Below are 25279 nucleotides of genomic sequence, written 5' to 3'. Positions count from 1 at the left end.
ATCTCCTATACATATTTATTATGACAACTGGCATAAGCCAAGAATATTACAAAGCTATATCTGTTGCCAAACACCATTAACAAGCTAAAGAGTCAAGTATAATTGCTTTTTAACCATTAGCTTAAATATTCCAGGGTTAGTGATTGCTATAACATTTCCTAGCAATTGACAGCAAAATACAATGTATTTTAACAGCAAGTAGCACTTAAACTAATTAGCAACAATGGAGACATGTTTTTAATTTATGCTTTATGATATATAATATAGACTTTGTAGTTAAAACAGACCTCAGTTTGTATCCTGGCACTACCACTTACAGTTACGTAAGCTCGATAACCTACTTAACCTTCCTAAACCTCAGTTGCCCTCATCTGTAAAATGGGAATAATTATAATACCAATACTAACATAATTGTGACAAAAATTATGTAAAATGCTAAGTACAACACCTTAGCCAATAATAACTGCTGAATAATGAATATTACTGCTTTGCTATTAATCAATAATCAACAAATAATCAATAAATTAATCAATAAATTGCTATAGAGAGTACCTTCTGAGTTGGTAAATGCATGATAATGGGTAACATACCAAGTTTATTTTTCTCACATTTAAACAATGCAATTTAAAAACACAATAAAACATTTCTAATTATCTACTCACCTACCTTTTCCAAATTGTACTGTATCCATTATCCCATTTTTCACAAAGACATAAACACCCTAAGCAAAAAAAAAGGGGGGGAAGACATCTGCATTTTTGAAGCTGTTGATAATGAGATAAAATTGCCTGCATCTCTGAGATTATATTAAAAGGTTGACTTAACATTATGCCCAAATCTAAATCCAGCTTTCCTATGTATTCACTACCAGCTTGTTTTCATTTCCTGCTTTTCATTCTATTTAACATGGATAACATTTATATCATTTTTCTCATATAAATGGATAATGTGCCTATGAAATAATCAGAGCAGAAATGATACTGAAAAAAATATTTATCATCTTATTTTATAATGACCTAGAAAAATAAATGGAATTTAAATAAAGAAGAAGGGAGGTATATTTCAGTTTAGAAGCAACATCTGATTAATAAAGTTGCAATAGCAACAACATAATGATTTGTGGAGGGAAAAAAAGAGCAAAAAGCCTAAAGCAAAGGGCTTCATCTTCCTCCCTTTTCTTAGTGTGCATTAGAATGAGAAAAAAATCTAAATTACCTCAGGACAGAAATCATCCTACATAGACCAGTGTTTATCCTGTTTTTAAATCGGAACATAAATTCTCTAGAAATCAAAACTATGTTAATACATCAGAGGAATTAAAGTTTTAAAGCAAATCTTTAACTTTACCTGTTTCTAACTGATTTATTTTAGTGCAAAAGAGTGTTAAATATATTTATTGAGTGCTAGGTATTACCTCACTTAGATAAGAAAAAAAAGGAAGTCACAAAATGATTTACTCGTGGTCATATTGTACTCTGTTGATGGAACCAGAAAACACAATCCTTCTCTGAACTAGCTGCTATGAAACCATGGGATAAAAACAAGAACAAAAGAGACTTTCAAAGCAGAGAAAACAGATATTATTATATTGGACAGGGAAGAAATAAGTTTTTGTTATAGAGATAGCTTGGTTTTGTAATTTTGTCTTACATATTTTAATGGTTATCAGAGAGATGCAGAGGTTCATCTTGGTTTAAAATTGTACAAATCAGCATAAACGCTAACTGCTATTGAACTACTTTTCTGTAGGGACTGTCTTGAGAATATTTCACCTTCAAAGTTAAAATACCTATTGACCAGTCGATTGGGAATCATTTAACCATTAAGGAAGAAAATTAGTCATCTTTCAAAAAAAATTTTTCTTAGCTCTGCTAAGGAATTCATTTTTACCACATGGGGTCAGTGCTACCTAAATTTCAAAACACTAAGCTAGCAGGAGTAGAAATTGAATTTGCTCTACATGATTCAAGCTTTAATGTGGAACGAATTTGAGTCAGACATAATTTTTAAAGAATGGATTACATTTTTAGGGGAAAATTAGGAAAAAAAATTGTTTACATTTAGGACAAAATGCACTGGAAATTGCCTTTCTTCAACCTATTTGTTTGAGCATATTAATGGAATAAAACATTCTTTTGAATCTTAAATTGGATGACAGTTACAATAGCAATTTAAAGACCTCTCAGGAACATTTTATCTCACTGAAGAAAAATTTCAGAACATTATGGAAAATTACATCTCAGGAGGCTTAAGTCTGAATCATCTAGCTATTGGCACATAGTCATAGGGGCATGATTCAGACCATAATTGGTTAAGGTATTTCCCTCTTAGATCAAACTATTAATAGTGTGTAGTACAACTAGTACCATAAGAATTGTATGACAAACACAAGTTTTCAAAAATAACATCATGTACTTATCAGATATTTGAAATATTATCTGGAATTACCAGAGTTCATTGATTTGGTATTTCACCTAAGCACAAATTATTTTTCATAAGTTCATTAGATTTCTTTTTAAAGATAATGGATAGAAACTAAAAAGAACAATGATTCACCATCAGGCTATATTTGGGGAAAAGTCGCATGGTTACTAGGTTAGAATGATGAAAACACTGGTACCAACATTAAGATACTGACACTGGAGATGCTAACACAATGATGTTTATGTGATGATAATGAAACATTAGTGTTGCATCAGCTTACTCCACCACTCTGCTGATGGATATTGCTGATTGAAGGCTAAGCATTAAAGTCACGTGTATTCTACTTTGCCCAATAGCTTACTGTAGTTAGAATGGTCTTATGAGCTAACGCCAACAAGTAAATAACACTTTACTTAGCCAAAGAAGAAAATATTCAGAAGTAATCTCAGAACTTCACATAAAAAGTGAGTGACACTGTGTACATGCTAGGTGACATAAATCCTTGCTGAACTACTTTAATCTATGCAGTAGTGGTAGAGTAGGTTCAATATAGCCACAAATTATTTGCTGCTACTTCTACTGAGAGTTGGCATCTAATTCCCTTCCCTTTAAAACTGAGCTGGCCTTAGTGACTTAACAATAGAATGCTGTAGAAGTGACTTTCTTGGATATCTGATGATAGGCAAAAAGCCTGGCAAATTCTGCCTAGGGCCACTTGTAACATTGTCTTTAGGAGCCCTGAATTACCCAAGTAAGTTATATCTGACCTATTTGAGATCACCATGCTTGAGAGGCCACGTGTAGGTGTTCTAGTCAATAATCCCAGCTGAACCCAGTCATCCAGCCATCCTTAACAAGGTGCCAGAGATGCAAATAAAGCTGTCTTGGACTGTCTAGATCAGCTCATTTGCCAGATGAACCCCACTGGGCCACCTCTGTCAATGCCACATGCAACAGACAAATCACCTGTCTGAACTCAGATCAAATTCATGACTTACAAAATCATAAGATGTAATATAATGGTTGTGGTTTTAAGCCATTAAGTTTTGGATTAGTTTTCTACACATCAGTAGGTAACTGGAACAATTAATCAGAAATCTCTGATATTAAACCACTATCAGAATTGACTTACCTTGCACCAGCCAATGTAACAACCAGTTGCAGTGCGGATGGAAGCAAAGCCCATTTGTAAATGACCAGGCTGCTCTTCAACATATTTAGACTGGAGCGGTGGTGCAGTATATATGGGGAGCTACAGGCAAAAAATGTTCATGTCAAAAACATAAAATAGCTGGACTGTCCATAACAGCGGTATGGCAGAACAGGAATCCTCATCAGCCTTCTTTCTAAAAACAACTAAAAATGCTGATAAAATACTTTTAAAAAACCATCTTAAATACAGGAATGATGTGGTAAACTGTTTATAAAGACCGTTTAAAACCCAGAAATTAAAAGATGCCAAATATAATATAATCCAATGGTTCTACTCCTATGTATATTTAGAGAAACTACTGTCTTTGCACACCCAGAGTTAGTATAATAACGTTCACAGCAACATTTTAATTACAACCAACCCAATGTCCATCCACAGTAAAATGGATCCTTTGGGGTATATTCGTACAAAGAAATATTAGAAATTAGGGGGTAAATATAAAAATTACAGCAACATGGAAAAATTTGGATGAATTTCAGGAATATAAGGTTACTTAAAAAAAACATTGCTTAGCAATACAGACATATAAGGTAAAATTAAAAAGTAAAGGAGGGGAATAATAGTAAAAATTCAGGGTAATGGTAACCTCTGAATGGAATGAAATGGAAACACAGAGGATTTTGTTTTCCTTTAAATTGGGTGCTAGGTATACGGTTGTACATCATTATCATCATCATATTATTATTCATACCTTTCATATTTTGAACAGCCTTTTGATTCTAATTAGTATTTAATAAAAACAAACATACACAAAAGAACAATGAAAAACTTAACCAGGTAGGGACTTACTTCCTTTAAAAAAAAATTTTTTTTTTTTTTTTGCTTTTATATTTAGGGTATAAATCCTCCTATGAAGCCTGGTGTTTGAGGAAGATAGAACTGGGAAGAATCAAGTTTACAAATCAACATCAAGGGAACTAGATGATTAATGACTTTGGATTTGCTCCTCTACCAACAACAAACATGAAACTATAGTTAACACTATATTGTTTTCTTGAAAAATGCTAAGAGTGGGTATAAAATGTCCTCAACACAAAAATGATAACTATTCAAGGTAATACATATGTAAATTAGACAGATTTAGTCATTCCACAATGTATATATACTTCAAAGCATCATGCTGTACAAGGTAAATGCATACAATTTTATGTCAGTTTTTTTATCTAAAGTTAAAAAATAAATAAAACATAAGACAGTGTGAGTTTGGTAAAGCTTTTCCAGTAGTAAGTCAGAAAAGTCTTGTTTTACCATTAAATGACTCTTTACTACCCATACCAGGATTAAAGAGTTAGTGTTTTATCTTTCTGGACTAATGCTTAAATTCACCACATTGGCAACTATGTATAATTAGGAAGGTGAGAGATGCATATCTTATTAAAGATGCGTTTTATATATAAAAAGCAGGTGCACTGCAAATAGGCAAGTTTCCTCTCTCCCCTAGAAAGGAGAGGTATATGTGGATGTACTGGTGTCAGAGTGGGCAACGTTATTTACTTACATGTTTGTCCATCATGTTTCTATCCTCTTTATTATTTACACATCCCAATTCCAAACTTTATTACACTCATTGTTCTTATTCTCTCTCCTCTGTCCCCATCAAAACCTGCTGATTAAGTTGTTTTTTGTTTGTTTGTTTGTTTTTTGAGACGGTCTTGTTTTGTCATCCAGTCTAGAGTACAGTGGCATGAACACAGCTCACTGTAGCCTCAACCTCCCGGGCTCAAGCAATCCTCTCACCTCAGCATCCCGAGTAGCTGGGACTACAGGCACACCCCCAACAAACCCGGCTAATTTTTGTATTTTTTTTGTAGAGATGGGGTTTCACCCTGTTGCCCAGACTGGTCTCCAATTCTTGAGCTCAAGCAATCCGCCCGCCTTGGCATCCTAAAGTGCTGGGATTACAAGCATGAGGCACTGCGCCTCACGGGTTCAGGTTCTTTATCTGTTTGTTGCCTATTATAAACAAAATTTTGTATATGTAGTTTTCTAGGAAGAGCATTCAAAGTTTTTATCAGACTCTCAAAGGGGTCAGAATGGTTAAGAACCAGTGTTTTAAAGTATTTTCCTTCTAAGGCATAGGCATAGTTGAAACGTTTATGATGATAGGATTTCAGCTCTACTTTAAGAATTTTAAGAGCTAGCCAGTAGCATGTTACTATAGCCTCCATTGAGAAAAGCATTCTCACTACAAATTTTAGAGACCTTGGGGCTTAAATGCCACTTATTGTATAGATAGAACTTGTATGTTCTCATTTAGAAATTATGATTACATTGAGTAAGCTATAAAACCACATTTAAAATTAAATTGAACCAAAGTAACTAAAACTCTCAAATCAGTATTTTTCTGTTATTTCTCAGTGACAACAAGCAAATGGCAAGAAAATAAGTATAATTCATCTCATAGAGGGATTTTAAAAAGAAATGTCCAGGGATGTCTAGGGCTGGCTGTATACATGCATTCCAATTGCCAGTCATTTTACTGATCTGAATACTACAGATTTCATGGTTAAAAAAAATGATTGTCTCATGGTGCTACAGAGTTTTCTATTAAAGGGAGATTTAATTATGTTCACTAGATGGCATATAAGGCAGGAATATATTGAGAATATTTAAAAAGATGTTTAGTGAGAAGAGTTGAACTAAAACAGATTTTCTGTTTAGCTGCAAGTTTACCAAAAGATTCAAACAACCAAATAACCAGAACACTTCATTCATAAAGTATTCTGGTTTAGTAGAAGTGTTATTACAGATTTAAACAGAAGTATAGCTCACTTTACACAATAAAAGTAGCTAGAAATGTTGCGCATAAATCACATTTTAATCCCTTCAGAAATTCTACATTCCTCAAGGACTAGATCCTGACTTTGTGTATAGTTCCTAGCACATAGCTGGCAACAAACTTTGTTTGATAAGTAATTCAATTAAATGATATTTAAAATGTACTTGGGGAATACAATAAATACCAAGGAATACTGCATATTCCATAATAAGCAGCACTACTTTATTTTAAAATTTCAAAAATTAAATTCAGCCATTAGGGATTTATCTTCCTACCTAGATTTGAGCTGTCCAGATATGGGAGTGTCAAGGAAGCCTTAAAATCAACATCCTCCTAAGATTAATAAACAGAAAAAATAAAAAAATACTTAGAATCAGTTAGCGGGTAGGGAAATGAGTCTACCCCAGACCATTAATGAAAATAAACTTTATCTAGTAATTAGAACAGTGCCTCACAAATATATAAGAGGAGCTTAGAAAATATTTTTGGTTGAATTTATGAATATTACCTTTATGCATGTTAGTTTGGCAATATTATCAATGTTTTATGCCTTTTGACCTACACTTCGGCTTATAGAAATTCATTCTAAGGAAATGGTTATAGATGTATATATAGATTCAATACAAAGTGGTTCAACAAGTACTGATTACAATAGCAATAGCTGGAAATAGTCTACATTTCCAAAAATTTATGAAAATTTTACATTTATTTGATGGTAGTACATTCATACAGCAGAATACTTATGACACCATTAAGAATTCTGGCCAATGTCATCTAACTAGTCAGTCGTGGAATCAGGATTCAAATTCAGGCCTGATTCAAAAACATATTATTAAGTGTGTGGATAAATCTTAAGGTTGACTTAAAGCGGGAAGAGATAAAAAGCACAATGATGAATAGAATTAGTAACCACAATTACAGCTCAACAGGCTGGCATGATAAGCCAGATCAACAAGGTAAAATTTAAACAGGTATAAACATACCTTCAACAGAGTCCAAAAAGTTCAAATGCCTAAGTACAGACTGGGATGAGGCATACCTTACCAGTAGTCCATGTAAAAAGGCTTAATGAATTTTAGAGAACCACATGCTTACTATGTCATGGTCAAAGGCTGCTTATGAGCATGGTTGATTTTGAGCACTCAAATATAAAAACTAATGTGATCTTAGGCAGCATTAATAGAAATATAACATCTAGAAGAGGAAAAGTCAGAGACTGACTCTATCCTGTAGCAGTCAAAACACCGTGGTTCATACATCCAAGTCATGGCACCAAAAACCAAAATGTTTTTTAAAAAGAAAAACAAACTACTTACACCTGAAGAAAACACTATCCTGAACATGCTTGGCAGAGGCTGATCATGATAGTGAGGAACTCAAAGCTGTGATGTATGAGAAATAGTTGAAGCTACTAAACGCTTTAAAATGTTTATCCTGGAAGCAAAATTACTTAAAGTATAACTGATATTTAAAGGCTTGTTTTTTGAAAGAGAGTTTTCTGTATGGCACCAATGCAAGAGATACAGTACCAACAGGTAGAAGTTATTATGAGACAAATTTCTGTCTGATATAAGAAAGGACCTTAAGTTAAATGAGAGGATTTAGAAAACGGAATGGGCTCCTTAGGCTCCTTTACCTAGAGTTTTATTCATGTAGAAGATATATGGCCACTAAATGTGCCTACTATAGAGGGAATTACAGTACCATACAGAAGGTTGATCTAGAAAACATCTAAGGTCACTTCCAAAACTGAGATCTTAATGAATTTGTTAAACTGAAGTTTCCTAATACTGAATGTACCTGTGTAAGTTTTTCAAGAAAGAAAAATCAGACTGCCTAGAACGTCTAACACCCTCCACTACTTATTGATTATTCATTAAGAAAAATCACTAGTTGTTTTTCACTGGAGTTAGAATTTTAGATGTTTGAGTTACATATTGTCTTTTGAGATACTTCATAACTATTTCTCTCAACTTTTAATATCTACCTAACAAAGACTTCTAAGACATTTTTGATGGGCAAAGATAATTTTAAAAAATATAGCTTTTGTGTCATCTTGATATTATACAAAGTTCATAAACCTTTGTAGGCAAATTACCTGCTCTGGTTTCACTAGCTGCTTTTTGGATTCCTCTTGTTTGGCTGCATGTACACTTACAGATGCATATATCAGACCTGCAGGCATGGTTGTCAGTTTTCCCATCTAAGAAAGATATATCAAAAACATCTTTTTAGTTGAAAAGCTTTCCATCTTCCATTTCCTAATAAATACTGGAGGAATCTCAGGAAATCTATTGGTTTCACTTTAATATATTAAATACTCAAACACTCCAAATTACCTCAGACATTTTTAAGACATAGTTCATAAAATTATCTTCTCATACTGGATGGCAGAGCACTATTTTTACCTGTTTGTTAACTACTTCATAAGAAATATAGCAATATAATATTTATCTGGAATATTATTATGTAATAATATAGCAATGTAATAATTACTAAAATCTGAGGAATGGAGTGGGATTGGTCTTGATATTCATTCAGTCCACAAACATCAATTGAACACCTACTATGTGCCAGACTCTGGTCTTAGTGCTTAGAATATATCAGTGAACAAAACAAAGATTCCTGTTCTCATACAAATGACATTCCAGTAGAGAGGAGGCAGGCAATAAACACAATAAACTATATGTTATATTATAAGTTGATAAATGCTCTGGAGAAAGTAAAGGATAAGAGTGGTCTGGAGTACTGAGTGATGCAGGCTGCATCTTGAAATACAATTTATATTAACATTATCCATAAAAAATGAATTCTTTCTATTATAAATCCTTTGCCCCTGATTTTCCCAATGCATTCCCTTTTACCTGTTTCTTGCTAAATCTAAAGCAAAAAGTGATCTTTGTTTTAGCTATAACTTGATTTGAATTAAGAATGAGGAAAAGTACTGGCTCTAAGAATAAAGTCTTCTAGTGTTATTCAGGTACCAAAATAATTCCCAAAGATTATCCATTCAACAAGGCCAACTGTAAAGCTTTCCAAGGTACAAATATTTTAACACTCTGATTCTTTAGATGGGAAAGAAGCTTCCTGAATTTGACAAAGGACATTATGAGGGAAGCAGTCTCCTTGTTTTACACACAAATAAAATTGTGCAACACCTGGAAGAATCACTGGCTAAAGGATTCTAAATGTTCTCCAATGACAGTGATAGTACCTATACTTCATTTCTGACACTGTTTTTAATATTTTCTGAGAAGAGCAAGGGAAGCTACTCAGGCATCAATCAGTTAAGTAATTTCCTGTTTAAACTGGGCAGGACTCTGATTTAGATTGGGGCTGTAAAAATACAGGGTAAAATTAAGAGTCAACACTAAGAAGATAAATTTTTTTTTATTCTCCTCCCCCATGCCTCCTTCTAGTACAGGAAACAGCATCACAGAATGATTTATCTGCACATGCATCCCTTAAAGACATCAATTTTTTTATTTCTTATACCCAGTTGGTATTCATTAATGAAATAACAAGATTTCCACACCATACCTATGTTAGGTATAATTTAAATGTATATTAAAACTGATGCCAGCAAGTATGGTCCCCATGAACCAGGGAAATTTTGTTAATAAAATCTCTATATTATAGGAAGGATGTAAAATTTTATAACATTGAAAAGCTTTTTTTGAAATACCTGACTAGACTTTACTTCTTCTTAAGAGACTACTCCCTGGATATAAGACAAATACTTTCAAAGTATGCTGAATTTTTTCAACACACTAATGATCACAGAGTATACTCATGTTACTTCATATAATGTAATAATAATATGTAGACTATAAAAGAATTTCATAGATATTGCTGATAATTATGATCTAATATTCCAGATTATGGATTTACTAATTGAGCTCATGGCCTAAAAGTTAATATACCTTGAAAATTGCCTAAGTACTTTCTCCACATTTTTTACTCTGTAAGGTAATAAAGGTCCACCCATTCTTTCCTACTGTCTTCATAGATTCCTTGACTTTTATTGAGGAGGCAGTATGGCACAATGGAAAAAAAATATGAGCTTAGGGCCGGGAGTGGTGGCTCATGCCTGTAATCCCAGCACTTTGGAAGGCCGAGGCGGGTGGATCACCTGAGGTCAGGAGTTCAAGACCAGCCTGACCAACATGGTGAAACCCTGTCTCTACTGAAAATACAAAATTAGCTGAGTGTGGTGGTGCATGCCTGTAATCCCAGCTACTTGAGAGGCTGAGGCAGGAGAATCACTTGAACCCAGGAGGTGGAGGTTGCAGCGAGCCGAAATAGCACCACTGCACTCCAGCCTGGGCAACAAGAGCAAAACTCTGTCTCAACAAAAAAATACATATATATATATATACACACACACACACACATAAATATGAGCTTAGGAGTTACACGGAACTTACTGTCTAAACTTGAATCAATTATTGAAGCTCTTCAAGTTGTGCTGCCCAGTATGGTTACTACTAGCCACATGTGGTTATTTAAATTGAAATTAAAATTATTAATAAATAAAAACTTCAGTCACATTAGTTCCATTTCAAGTGCTCAACAGCCATAATGTAGAGCACAGATATAAAACAAGCCCATCATTGCAGAAAATTCTAGAAAATGTCTTAATTAGGTTAACTATTATTAGGTTAAATATCTGAAAAAATGTGTATGCCATCCTGTTGATTATCACAAGGATTAAATAAGGAGTTATATTAAAATGGCTTACACTTGGTACATAGGCAATTAAGTTTAGTTTCCCATTCCTTCTGTTTGCTGAATAAAAAAATTAAGTGGCTCTGCTTATTCCTCATTTTTCTTTGCACATGTATTTCATGCTAATCAGGCTCTAGTGAGAACAGTGATAACAATAAAATCTATCCAACATATTTATTACCTCCAAACAAAAAAAGGTTGCAATTTTTGTCAAAAGAAATCAGGAAGACTGGCACACTAGGGTATCTACAAGTCTAAGTTATACTGGTGAAGTACATGTCACTATCTTAAAGAGGGAAAGCTAATGGTACAGCACATTGAAAATTTCTGAAAAAAGACTGGCAAGCTACAACTCTGGGCTAAATCTGGCCTGGACTCTAAGTTTAAAATGTTTTTAAAAAACATATTTAAAGATTTGTAAAAACAAAGAAGAATATATGACAAGAAATCTTATGCATGCTGCAAAGCCTAAAACATTTACCATGTGGCCATTTACAAAAAAAAAAAAAATTGCCAGCCTCCAATTTAGAAAACCAAATAAGATATTCAAAAAGTTATTAGAGTTTGGGGTGTTATAAAAAACTTACAGCCTCATGAGGCTGTCATTAATCAAACAGCATTAAAAGTGAGCAGAGATAATCGAGTTTTCACGAGAGGAAAGACCTTAACTTAAAACTATTTGTAACTCGAAATAATAACTCGTCAAGTCAAAATTACGACTTATTTAAAATCAATGAGAGATTAAATACTGGCTCTCTACAAAATATAACAGGTCCTAAAACAGATATCTCTCACATGGAAATTTACAAACAGCAGGGCTAAAATATGAGCATGAGGTAACTTACCCGTAAGACTCACCCCCTCCAACTGTGCCTGCAATAAAAATATAGCTGATTCTTGTTATTTCCAGCAGTTATATTCTATAAAGTAGCTGTGAATACTGATTTACAGAATACTGTACCATTTCTCCAGGGAAAAATACAGGGCGAGCTTCCTGTGATAGCAAGTTTTTTGAAGGTTTTTTATCATGAACTGATGTTGAATTTTATCAAATGCTTTTTCACCATCAGTTGAAATGATTATTATGATTTTAATCCTTCATTCTGTTGATATGATGTACCACACTAACTGATCTGCATATGCTGAACCATCCTTGCATCGCTAGGATAAATCCTACTTGGTCATGATGAATGATCTTTTGAATGTGTTTTGGAATTTGATTTGCTGGTATTTTGTTGAGGATTTTTGCATCAATATTCATCAGGGATATTGGTCTATAGTTTTCTTTATTGATGTGCTGTAATATCAGGGTAATATTAGCCTTGTAGAATGAGTTTGGAAGTATTCCCCTCTTCTCTGTTTTTCAGAATAGTTTCAGTAGAACTGGTATTTCTTCTTTAAATATTTGGTAAAATCCAGCAGTGAAGCCATCAAGTCCCAGGCTTTTCCTTCTGGGGAGATTTTTACTACATCTTCCATCTCATTGTTATCTGTCTGTTCAGATTTTGGATTTCTTCATGGTTCAATGTTGGTAGGTTGTGTGTGTCTGGGAATTTATCCATTTCTTCTAGATTTTCCAACTTATTGGCATATAGTTGATCACAGCAGCCACTAATGATCCTTTGAATGTCTGCAGTATTGGTTGAATGTCTCCTTTTTCATCTCTGATTTTATTTATTTGGGTGTTCTCTCTCTTTTGTTTTGTTAGTCTAGCTAAAGGTTTGTAAATTTCATCTTTTAAAACAACCAACGTTTTGTTTCATTGATCTTTTGTATTATTTTCTTCATTTCAATTTCATTTATTTCTGTTCTGATCTTTATTATTTCTTTTCTTCTACTGATTTTGTATTTGGTTAGCTCTTGCTATTAAGAATTTTTGTTTTGGGAGGTGTGAAGATGGCTGATTAGAAGCAGCCAGTGTATGCTGCTCTCAAGGAGAAGATACACAGTAGCCAGTGAACACAAGCTCTTCCACTGAATCATCCAGGAGGACATGCTGGAATTCATCAAGGGAGCACCATGACCCACAGAGAGCAGAAAAGTGCAAGACAGGACAGCTGCCCACCCAGGACTGGCAGGAAGACAAGGGGGGGCTCCTCACCACAGGGAAATGGTAAGTCAGCAAAAGCCCCCAGACACTCACACTTATGCCATGAACCTTTGCAGTCCTGGACACAGGAGATCCCCATAGACCCTCTATTCCCAAGGCCTCCAGACTGACACAGGTTGCCTGGAGTTTTCTGGGTGGGCAGAGTTGCCACTCAGGCACATAAGGATGCCCAAGGGCCTTGGACTCCTGAGCACTCTTGCACCAGCTACATAGCTCCACCAACAAGGGAGGCCAGACTCTCTCACATGCCCCCAGGATAGGGACCATATTCATGGTGCTGAGGAATGGACGGACTGCAGGCTTTGCCTCTGCTATACCTGTCTAGGCAAAGCCCACTGGCCTGGGATCCTAACACAACCACACCAACCCCACCTAAGAATTCAGGCCAATAGCAGCTCTGCAATTCTTCTGGGATAAACCTCCCAGAAGTAACTGACAGGACTGACATTTTTGCCAATGCCTCAGCCCCCACCTCTACTACACTCAGGCTGAGAAGGGAGAGAAGAGCCCAAAATATTGCTGGCCTCCAGCACACTGCAGCAGCCTTACAGAAAAGTGGCCAGATTATTTTCCATGCAGGTCTCTGCCAGTGCTACTCCTCACTGAGCAGAGCTTCCCTACCAGGGTCCCCAGTACAGCCACCCTACCCCAACCTGAGCACTTGGGCTGGCAGCAGCTCTGCATTTCCCTGAGATGGAGCTCCCAGAAGTAATCAAGAGACACACCACTTTTACAATTACTGCAGCAAAACAAAACAACAACAAATCTAAAGGACAGCAACATCAAACATTAAAGGAACGTCAGCCCACACATGAAAAAGAATGAGTGCAAGAACTCGGGCAACTGGAAAAGCCAGTGTCTTCTTACCTCCAAACAACAGCACTACCTCCACAGCAATGGTACTCAACCAGACTAAAGTGGTGGAAATGAAAGACAAAAGGTTTAGAATATAGATAGGAATGAAGAACATCAAGATTCAGAAGAAAGTTGAACCAAATCCAAAGTATTTAAAGAATTAAATAAAACAATACAAGAGTTGAAAGATAAAATTGCTATTTTAAGAACCAAAACCAATAGAAAGAACCGAAAAAATGTACTGTAAAAATTTCATAATATAATCAGAAGTACTAACAGCAGAAAAGACCAACCTGAGGGAAGAATCTGAGCTTGAAGATCAGTTCTTCCAATCAACTCAGTTAGACAAAAACAAAGAGAATAAAAAAGGAACAAAACCTCTGGAAATGTGGAATTATGTAAAGAGACCAAACCAATGACTCACTGGCATCCCTAAAACACAGAGAGAAAGATACAGTAACTTGGAAAACATATTTGAGAATATTGTCCATGAAAACGTCCCCAACCTCACTAGAAAGGTCAACATTCAAATTCAAGAAATGAATAGAAGCCATGTGAGACAGTATATAAGATGACCATCCCCAAGACACATACTCATCATATTCTTCAGGGTCAATGTGAAAAAATATTAAAGGCAGCTAGAGAGAAGAAGAAGGTCATCTGTAAAGGGAGTTCCATCAGGCTAAGAGTGGCCTTCCAGCAGAAATGCTATAAGCCAGAAGAGATTTGGGGCCTATATGCAGCATTCTTAAATAAAACAAATTCCAAGCAAGAATATCATATCCAGCCAAAATATGCTTCATAAGCTAATGAGAAATAAGATTCTTGTCAGACAAACAAATGCTAAGGAAATTTGTTACCACCAGATCTGCCTTACGAGAGGTCCTTAAAGGAGGGCTAAACATGGAAATGAAAGACTGTCAGTGGCACCACAAAAATCCCCTTAAGTACATAGACTACTGATACTACAAAGCAACCACACAATCAAATCTGCATATTAACCCGCTAACAACATGATGACAGGACCAAATCTGCACATATCAATGTTAAACTTGAATGTAAACAGGCTAAATGCCCCATTTGAAAGGCATGCAGTGGCAAGTTAGATAAAGAAGTAAAAACCAATTGTATGCTGCCTTCAAGAGACCCATCTCACATGCAGTGACATCCACAGGCTCAAATTAAATGGATGGAGAAAAATTCACCAAGGAAACACAATATGAAAAAGGGCAGGGGATGCTAATCTAATTTCACACAAAAAAGACTTTAAACCAATGATCAAAAAAGGACAAAGAAGGACATTATATAATAAGGAGTTCAAGAAGACTTAACAATACTAAATATATATGCACCCAATACTGGAGTGCCCAGATTCATAAAGTAAGTTCTAGTTCTTAGATACCTACAAGGAGATTTACATAAATAGACAATAACAGTGGGAAACCTCAACACCCCACTGGCAGTACTAGAAATATCAACACAGAAAACTAACAAAGATACCAGGACCTGAACTTGACACATGACCATATGGATCTAACAGACATCTACATAACACTCCACCCAACAAAAACAGAATATACATTAATCTCATCTGCACATGGCACATACTCTAAAATTGACCACACAATCAGCCCTAAAGCAGTTCTCAAAAAATACACACACAAAAAAAACTGAAATCATGCCAATCACATTCTCAGACCACGTGCAATTAAAAAAAAAAAAGTCGATACCAAAATCTCTCAAAACCATACAATTACATGGAAATTAAACAATATGCTCCTGAATTACTTTTGGGTACACAATGAAATTAGGGCAGAAACCAAAAAATGATTTGAAACTAATGAAAACAAAGATACAACATACCAGAACCCCTGGGACACAGCTAAAGCACTATTAAGAGGAAAGTTTATAGCACTGAAAATCCACATCAAAAAGCTTGACAGATCTCAAATTAACATCACCTAACATCACACCTAGAGGAATTTGAAAAACAAGAACCAACCAACCAAAAAGGTAGCAGAAGAAAAATAATAACCAAAATCATAGAGCAACTCAATATAATAGAGATGTGAAAAACGACACAAAAGATAAAAAAAAGTTGGTTTTTTGAAGAAATAAATAAGACTGAGAGACAACTAGCTAGACTAATAGTGAAAAAAAGAAGATCCAAATAAACACAATCAGAAATGACAAATGGAACATTACCACCAACTACATGGAAATACAAACAACCCCCAGAAACTATTATGAAATCCTCTATGAACACAAGCTAGAAAACCTGGAAGAAACAAATAAATTCCTAGAAATATATACCACCCAAGATTGAACCATGAAGAAATTAAAACTCGGAACACAGAAATAATGAGTTCAGAAATTTAATCAGTAATAAAAAGCCTACCAACCAGAAAAAAAAAAAAAAAAAAAAAAAAAACTTGTACCAGATAGATTCACAGCTTAGTTCTACCAGATGTATAAAGAAGAGCTGGTACCAATCCTACTAAAAGTATTCCAAAAATTGAGGAGGAGGGACTCCTCCCTAACTCATTCTATGAGGCTAGCATCATTGTAATACCAAAACCCCACAGAAACACAACAAAAGAGGAAAACTTCTGGCCAATACTCTGATAAACATAGATGTAAAAATTCTAAACAAAATACTAGAAAGCCAAATCTAGGAAAACATCTAGGAAATACTAGAAAGCCAAATCTAGGAAAACACCACGACCAAGAAGGCTTTAAACCTGGGATGCAAGGGTGGTTTAATGGATGCAAATTAAGAAATGTAATTAATCACATAAACAGAACTAAAAACAAGACCCTATGATCCTCTTAATAGACGCAAAAAAGGATTTCAGTAAAATTCAACAACCTTTGTCAAATGCATAGTTTGCGAATATTTTCTCCCACTCTGTAGGTTGTGTTTTGTCTGCTGATGATTTCTTTTGCTGTGCAGAAGCTTTTTAGTTTAATTAGGTGCCATTTGTTTATTTTTGTTTTTGTTGTATTTGTTTTGGGGGTCTTAGTCATGAATTCTTTGCCTAGACTGATGTCTACAAGAGTTTTTACAATGTTGTCTTCTAGAATTTTTATAGTTTCAAGCCTTATATTTAAGGCTTTGATCAATCTTGAGTTGACGTTTGTATATGGTGACAGATAGGGATCCATTTTCATTCTTCTATGTGCGGCTTACCAGTTATCCCAGCACCACTTGTTCAATAGGGTATCCTTTCCCTACTTTATGTTTTTGTATGCTTTGTCGAAGATCAGTTGGCTGTATTTGGCTTTATTTCTGGGTTCTCTATTCTGTTCCATTGGTCTATGTGCCTAGTTTTACACCAGTACCATGCTGCTTTGGTAACTATAGCCTTATAGTACAGTTTGAAGTCAGGTGTACTAGTCTGTTTTCACACTGCTGATAAAGACATATCCAAGACTGGGCAATTTACCAAAGAAAGAGGTTTAATGGACTCACAGTTCCACATGGCTAGGGAGGCCTCAAAATCATGGCAGAAGGTGAAAGGCACGTCTCATATGGCAGCAGACAAGAGAAGAATGACAGCAAAGCAAAAGGGGTTTCTCCTTATAAAACCATCAGATCTCATGAGACTTACTCACTACAAAGAGAACAGTATGGGGGAAACCGCCCTGATGACTCAATTATCTCCCACAACATGAGCAAATTATGGGAGCTACAATTCAAGATGAGATTTGGGTGGGAACACAGCCAACCCATATCATCAGGTAATGTGATGCCTCCAGATTTGAAAAAGACACATACACACACGTTTATAGCAGCATCTTTTGCAATTGCAAAAATATGGATCCAACCAAAATAACCATCATCCAAGGAGTGGATAAAGAAAATGTGTGATATATACACCATAGAATACTACTCAGCCATAAAACAGAATGAAATAATGGCCTCTGCAGCAACTTGGATGGAGTTGGAGGCCATTAGTCTAAGTGATGTAACTAAGGAATGGAAAACCAAATATTGTATGTTTTCACTTATACATGAGAGCTAAGCTTGAGGAGAGCTAATACATGAGGATGCAAGACATAATAACAATATAATGGGCTTTGGGGACTCCAGGGGAAGGATGAGAGGGATGCAAGGGAAAAAAGACTACATACTGGGTACAGTGTACACTGCTCAGGTGACGTGTACACCAAATCTCAGAAATCACTACTAAAGAACTTATCCATGTAACCAAAAACCACTTGCTCCCCCAAAACTATTGAAATAAAATTTTAAAAATAAAATAAAATTCAACAACCCTTCATTTAAAAAACCCTCAACAAATTAGGCATCAAAGGAACATACCTCAAAATAATAATAGCCATCTATGACAAACTCATAGCCAACATCTAACTGAATGGGCAAAATCTGGAAGCATTCCCTTTGACAACTATAATAAGACAAGGATGTGCACTCTTTTCATGCCTAGTCAATATAGTACTGGAAGTCCTAGCCAGGAGTCAGGCAAAAGAAATATATAAAATTGATCCAAATATGAAAAGACAAAGTCTCTTCAAAGAAGATATGATCTTATACCTAGAAAACCCCATAGTCTCTGTCCAATAGGTTGTGGTTCTAATAAACAACTCCAGCGAAGTTTTGGGATACAAAATAAATATTTGAAAAATCAGGAGCATTTCTATAAATTATCAACATCCAGGTAGAGAGCCAACTTAAGAATACAATCCCATTCACAATAGCCATGAATAGAATAAAATACCTGGGAATACAGCTAACCACAGAGGTGAAAGATCTCTACAATCAGAACTATAAAACACTGCTGAAAGAAATCAGAGATGACACAAACAAATGGGAAAACATTCCATGCTCATGGATAGGAAGAATCAATATTTTTTAAATGGTCACACTGCCCAAAGCAATTTACAGATTCAAGTTATTCCTATCAAACTACCAACGACATTTGTCACAGAAGTAGAAACAACTATTCTAAAATTAATATGGAATCAAAAACAAGCCCAAATAGCCAAAACTATTCTAAGTAAAAAGAACAAAGCTGGTGTCATCACACTTCCTGACTTCAAACTACAGTACAAGGCTATAGTAACCAACACAGCATAGTACTGGTACAAAAACAGACACATAGACCAATGTAACAGGTTAGAGGTTAGAGAACCCAGGTCAGATGTTGGAGAACCCAGAAATAAAGCCACACAACTGTAACCATCTGATCTCTGACAAACTCAACAAAAACAAGTAATGGGTAAAGAATTCCCTATTCAACAAGTGGTGCTGGGATAACTGGTGGGCCCTATGCAGAAGATTAAAACTAAACTTCTGCCTTTCACCATACACGAAAATCAACTCAAGATGGATTAAAGACTTAAATGTAAAGCCTAAAAAAATAAAAACCCTGAAGAAAAGCTAGAAAATACCATTCTGGACATCAGCCCTGGCAAAGGTTTCCCAGCAAAGACACCAAAAGCAATTCCAACAAAAGCAAAAATTGACAAATGGAACCTAATTAAACTAAAGAACATGTGCACAGCAAAAGAAACTATTAAACAGATAACTTACTGAATATGAGGAAATATTCACAAACTATGCATCTAAAAAGGTCTCATATCCAGAATCTACGCAAAACTTAGACAATCGAACAAGCAGAAAACAATTTACCCCATTAAAAAATGGGGAAAAGATCTGAACAGACACTTGACAAAAGATAACATACAAGTGGCCAACAAATACATGAAAATAAGCTCAACAGCACTAATTATCAGAGAAATGCAAATCAAAACCACAGTGAGATACCATCTCACACCAGTCAGAATGGCTATTATAAAAAATCAAAAAACAGCAGATGCTGGTGAGGCTGCTGAGAAAAGGGAACATTATACACTGATGGTGGGAATACAGATTAGTTCAGCCACTGTGGAAAGCAGTTTGGATATTTCTCAGAGAAATTAAAACAGAACTATCATTTGACTCAGCAATCCCACTACTGGGTATATATCCAAAGGAATATAAATTATTTTACCATATATACATGCACTCATGTGTTCATCACAGCACTATTCACGATACCAAATACATGGAATAAACCTAGGTGCCCATCAGTGTTGTACTGAATATAGAAAATGAGATACATATACACCATGGAATACTATGCATCCATAAAAAAGAAGAAAGCATGTCCTTTACAGCAACATGGATGCAGCTGGAAGTCATTATCCTAACTGAATTAATGCAGGAACAGAAAATCAAATACTGCATGTTCTCACTTATAAGTGGAAACTAAACATTTGGTACACACGGACATATAGATGGGAACAACAGACACCGAGGACTAGTAGATGGGGGAGGGAGGGAGAAAAGAATTGAAAAACTATTGGGTAATATGCTCACTACCTGGGTGATGGGATCAAACCCCATACATCAGCATCATTCAATATACTCTTGTAACAAACCTGCACATGTACCCCTAAACCTAGAATAAAAGTTGAAATTATTAAAAAAAAAACAAACAGGTGCCAACTAGAATTTAATTATGAAGCCTATTATTTTTACTAAAAACATAAGGCTGATTTCTATAATTATTCTCTATCATGTAGCATTTTTGTAAAATAATATTTATAAAACATTTCAATAATCGGTTTTATTACTTCTAGTCTAACAACATTATGGGGAAACATGATCAAATACAACCTGATTCTAAAATAAAAGAGGAGAAAAAAAGTCATTCTGCAAGAAAATATACTTTTCCCCAATAACACCTATCTTGACTAATGGTATTTTTTTTTTATTTAGAAAATATATATTGTGTGACTCAGCTATCTAGAACTTTTCAGCTTCTAGAGGAGTTCCTCAACCAGCAAAGGGGGAAAAGAAACAAGACATTTTCAAAATCTCTTGTGGCCAAAAACCTGTCCTGGAACATCCAGTGACCAACACAAAGGGAGAAAAACCAAGAGCTGAGTGTTAGAGGTAAGGTTACTCCAGTTGGCCACTTCTGATTATAAAAGTTAAGATTATACATACCAAAAGTCACAAAATGGGAGAAGTAACAAGGAATAGAAGAGTTAAGAAATAATAAAAAGAGAATAAAAGTACCAGAGGCACAGTATGGCTGGCAAAGGAAAAGAACCAGCAACAAAGCTACAAATGCATGATGGAAAAGCTCTACAGTCTGGTAGTGTTATGGTACCTGTGCCACACCTCATTATAATGTCCCTGAAAAGAAAAGAGATCTCTGATGACAATGTGTTTGTTCTGTATTTAAGGAGTGCATACTATGTGCCAGGTGCTTTATACAGATCTAGTCTTTTTAATCTTCACAATAATCCAATATAGTGGGTCTTATTTAAGATGCTTTTGGCTAAAATTCTGGAATCTCCAACTTAAACTGGCTTCAACAATGAAAAAAACTTATTCTCCATATAACAAAGTCTAGGAGCAGGCAGACATAAGGATTGGTTAATTCACTAGCTTACTGAGAATCCAGGTTCTTCCATTTTTCGCTGTTGCCCACATCAAAGTGCCATTTAAAATGATGCATAGCATCTGGTGTTTTCTTGAAAACTAAATATTAAGAATACTAAGAGAAAGGAGTGACCTGTAACACAGCTCTAAAAGTCAAATACTCTGAAGATGAATGTGCTGACAAAATAACACCTGTGGTCTAATATAATAGCAATGGAAAAGGGGTAATTAACATTTGCTGAACGCCTACTATGCACCAGAAAGTATTTGGATACAAGTAAAGAACACAAATACCAGCAGTGGCCTTTGGAGAACAGAAAAACACTTGGAAAAAGGCTGCCTTTGATTCACTGAGCATGTCACCCTGCCCACAAAGCCAAGAAGTTGTATATATTTCAATTCACAATTATGGAAGAAAAAGCAAATGACACCAGCAACTTTTTCAATATAGCACTTTCTAAGACTATTTCCGGGCTCAATACCCATTCAGGTCCACTATCTATACCTTCACTTAGATAACAAACACAACATATTACAATTGGCAAAGTTAAAAACTAAAGATACTGAGTTACGAAGAAAGGGTTCAACTGTCGGGTTTAACATAGGTGGGAGTTACGTAGTACATTCAAGATATAACGTTCATCAAAATTAGAGCTCTAGCACTTAAAAGACCAATCTTAAGTTTCCTACAACAAATAAGTGTCTAGATCAGTGTGGTTGTATTATGAAATTATACAATATTAATGGTAAAGCATTTCAAGAACTAAGTTACTTTAATTATGATGTATGAAAGAATTATTCTGAAATTTCTGAACATATTAATCATTCAATAATTGTGGTGCAATTATTACTGGGTAATATTTGAAAGTATCAAAATTTTATCTTAGATCAATAAAAATCTAACTAGAAAATTAAAAATAAAAACATACACAGGGAGTATATTTACACAATTAAACATCTTTTTTAAAACTTTTTTTTTTTTTTTGAGAAGGAATTCCACTCTTGTTGCCCAGGCTGGAGTGCAATGGCGCGATCTCGGCTCACTGCAACCTCCGCCACCCAGGTTCAAGTGATTCTCCTGCCTCAGCCTCCCAGGTAGCTGGGATTACAGGCATGTGCCACCACGCCCGGCTAATTTTGTATTTTTAGTAGAGACCGGGTTTCTCCATGTTGGTCAGGCTAGTCTTGAACTCCCGACCTCAGTTGATCGGCCCGCCTTGGCCTCCCAAAGTGCTGGGATTACAGGCATGAGCCACCGCGCCCAGCCACAACTAAACATCTTAAAAATCCTCCAGAAATGGCACAACAGATCAGCAAAATTCCACTTTAGCCAGTTTGTTAATCAGGCTAAAGTATTTTATGAGTATTTTTTTAGACATTTTAATCAGTACATTGACAAATACCGAATATTGCCAAACTCAGTAATCAGATTTTGAAAAACACCTAACAGCCTCCTTTGACACACACATATATACACATATGCTATATCTGGGGAAAAAAATTAGGCTGTATCTCCCTGGTGGAAACGTGGGAGAGGAATATTGAGAGCATTCTATTTACTTGAAAAGATTGTAGCACTCCAATAAAAGATGATTTTAAAGTTGTTGTCAGTTTAGAATTCAGACGTTACAAAATTTCAAAACAGGATTAAATAAGCTATACAGAAATGCTGAACTGATCTTTCTAAAATACTGTTTGTTCTCTCAGCTCTACAAACAACCTTTACCGCCTTCCTCTGGCCCTAGCCAAATTAATCTTCCTAGGCCCCAAACATGTCAAGCACATTCCTCCCTCAGTGCCTTCACATGCTGCATGTGTTGTACTAGAATGCCCTCTCCTCTCCTGTACCTAACAGTACTTGGCACACAGCAGGTACTCAAAAAAATAATTATTGAATGAATACACTTACCAAAACCCTGCCCTTCACTGAAGGACTGGCTCAATTCCCACTAGTTCACTCAAAGACATCTCTCTGAATTCATACAGTTCATATTTTTGTGAGGCACTAATCCGGTGTTTAACAAATATAACATTATATTATTATTTATCTTTTTGAAATATATGCAGCCTATTTTTCTATTAAATATAGACTCCTGTGAGTAGTCTTAGACCTCTCATATCCAAAAGACTTTGCACGACTAAGGACCTTAAAACTAAATAATAAAATGATACGCAGGTTTAAATAGGGCAGTACACACAGAGAATCTAAGTCATTTTACGTAATAACATTTATGAGATGCCTATATACCAAGCATTTGTGGAGGCAAACAACTAAAGGCCCTAAAGCGAAACTGAAATTGTAAGACTGATTCAGCAATCTTAACTTTTTGAAAATCTAATGAAAGTTATTAACTATCTTAGCTCAACATGTACTTACTCTGAAATTTTTGCATATGCTTGCAGGCCAACACACTCTGAGGCATTTGAGGACCCAATCAATCTGGCTCCAACACAAATGAAATTTATCACAAGTACATTTTATCCTGATATGCAGATACAAAATTCCCTCAGGATTGCTCTAAGAATCAAATACAATTCTGGTGAACTCTGAAAAATTATTTTATTATTTTTAATTTCTATGTATCTACTATTTCAATAGTTTTTGGAGTACAAGTGGTTTTTGTGTACATGGGTGAATTGTATAGAGGTAAACTATGAGATTTTAGTGCACCCATAACCCAAACAGTATACATTTTAACCTAATATGTACTTTTTCATCTTGAGTCCTCCTTCCACTCTGCCCCTTCGGAGTCTCCAAATTCCATTACACTACTCTGTAAGTCTTTGCATACCTATAGCTTAACTCCCACTTATAAGTGAGAACAGAGGGTATTTGGCTTTCCATTCCTGAGTTACTTCATTTAGAAGAATGGCTGCCAGTCCCATCCAAGTTGCTACAAAAGACATTCTTTCACTGTTATTTGTGGATGAGTAGTATTCCGTGGTGTATACACAACACTACATTGTATTTATTTATCTACTTATTTATTTTTAATTCAATAGCTTTTGGGGTACAAGTGGTTTTTGGTCACATGGATGAATTATGTAGTAGAAATTTTAGTGCACCTGTCACCTGAGCAGTGAACATTATACCTAAGGTGTAGTGTTTTTTTTTAATCCCTGACCCACCTCCCAGTATACCCATTCTGACTCTCTAAAGTCCATTATATCACTCTGCATGCCTCTGTGTACTCATAGCTTAGCTCCTACTTATAAGTGAGAACATATGGTTTTTGGTTTTCCACTCCTGTGTTACTTCACTTAGAATAATGACTGCCAGCTCCATCCAAGATGCCACAAAAGACATTATTTCATTTCTTTTAATGGCTGAGTAGTATTCCATGCTGTATATATACCACATTTTCTTGATCTATTCATTGGTTGATGGGCATTTAGGTTGGTTCCATGTTTTTGCAATTGTGAGTTGTGCTGCTATAAACATGCATGTGCATGTCTTTTTCATATCATGACTTCTTCTCCTTTGGGTAGACACCCAGTAGTGGGACTGCTGGATCAAGTGGTAGACATACTTTTAGTTATTTAAGGAATCCCCATACTGTTTTCCATAGTGGTTGTACTAATTTACACTCCAGCAGTGTAAAAGTGTTCCCTTTTCACCACATCCACATGAACAGCTACTGCTTTTTGGCTTTTTAATTATGGCCATTCTTGCAGAAGTAAGTGGTAGCTCATTGTGGATTTAATTTGTATTTC

The 25279-nt window shown here is 35.4% G+C and overlaps 1 protein-coding gene across 2 annotated transcripts in view; it reads right to left on the bottom strand.

Annotated features, from left to right (window-relative positions):
- The window catches only part of APOOL (apolipoprotein O like), an 89439-nt gene that overhangs the window by 38251 nt on the left and 25909 nt on the right, over positions 1–25279 (bottom strand). For both annotated transcript variants that reach the window (XM_017029272.2, NM_198450.6), the window contains exons 2-4: positions 8515–8619; positions 3557–3676; positions 667–721 (exon numbers count right to left, since the gene is read on the bottom strand). In XM_017029272.2, coding sequence (XP_016884761.1) covers positions 667–721; positions 3557–3676; positions 8515–8619 — 280 coding nt within the window. The remainder of the gene's footprint in view (positions 1–666; positions 722–3556; positions 3677–8514; positions 8620–25279) is intronic.

The sequence above is a fragment of the Homo sapiens genome, chromosome X, assembly GCF_000001405.40.
Source record: "Homo sapiens chromosome X, GRCh38.p14 Primary Assembly".
Taxonomy (NCBI): domain Eukaryota; kingdom Metazoa; phylum Chordata; class Mammalia; order Primates; family Hominidae; genus Homo; species Homo sapiens.
This window is presented reverse-complemented; position numbering and strand designations above follow the sequence as displayed.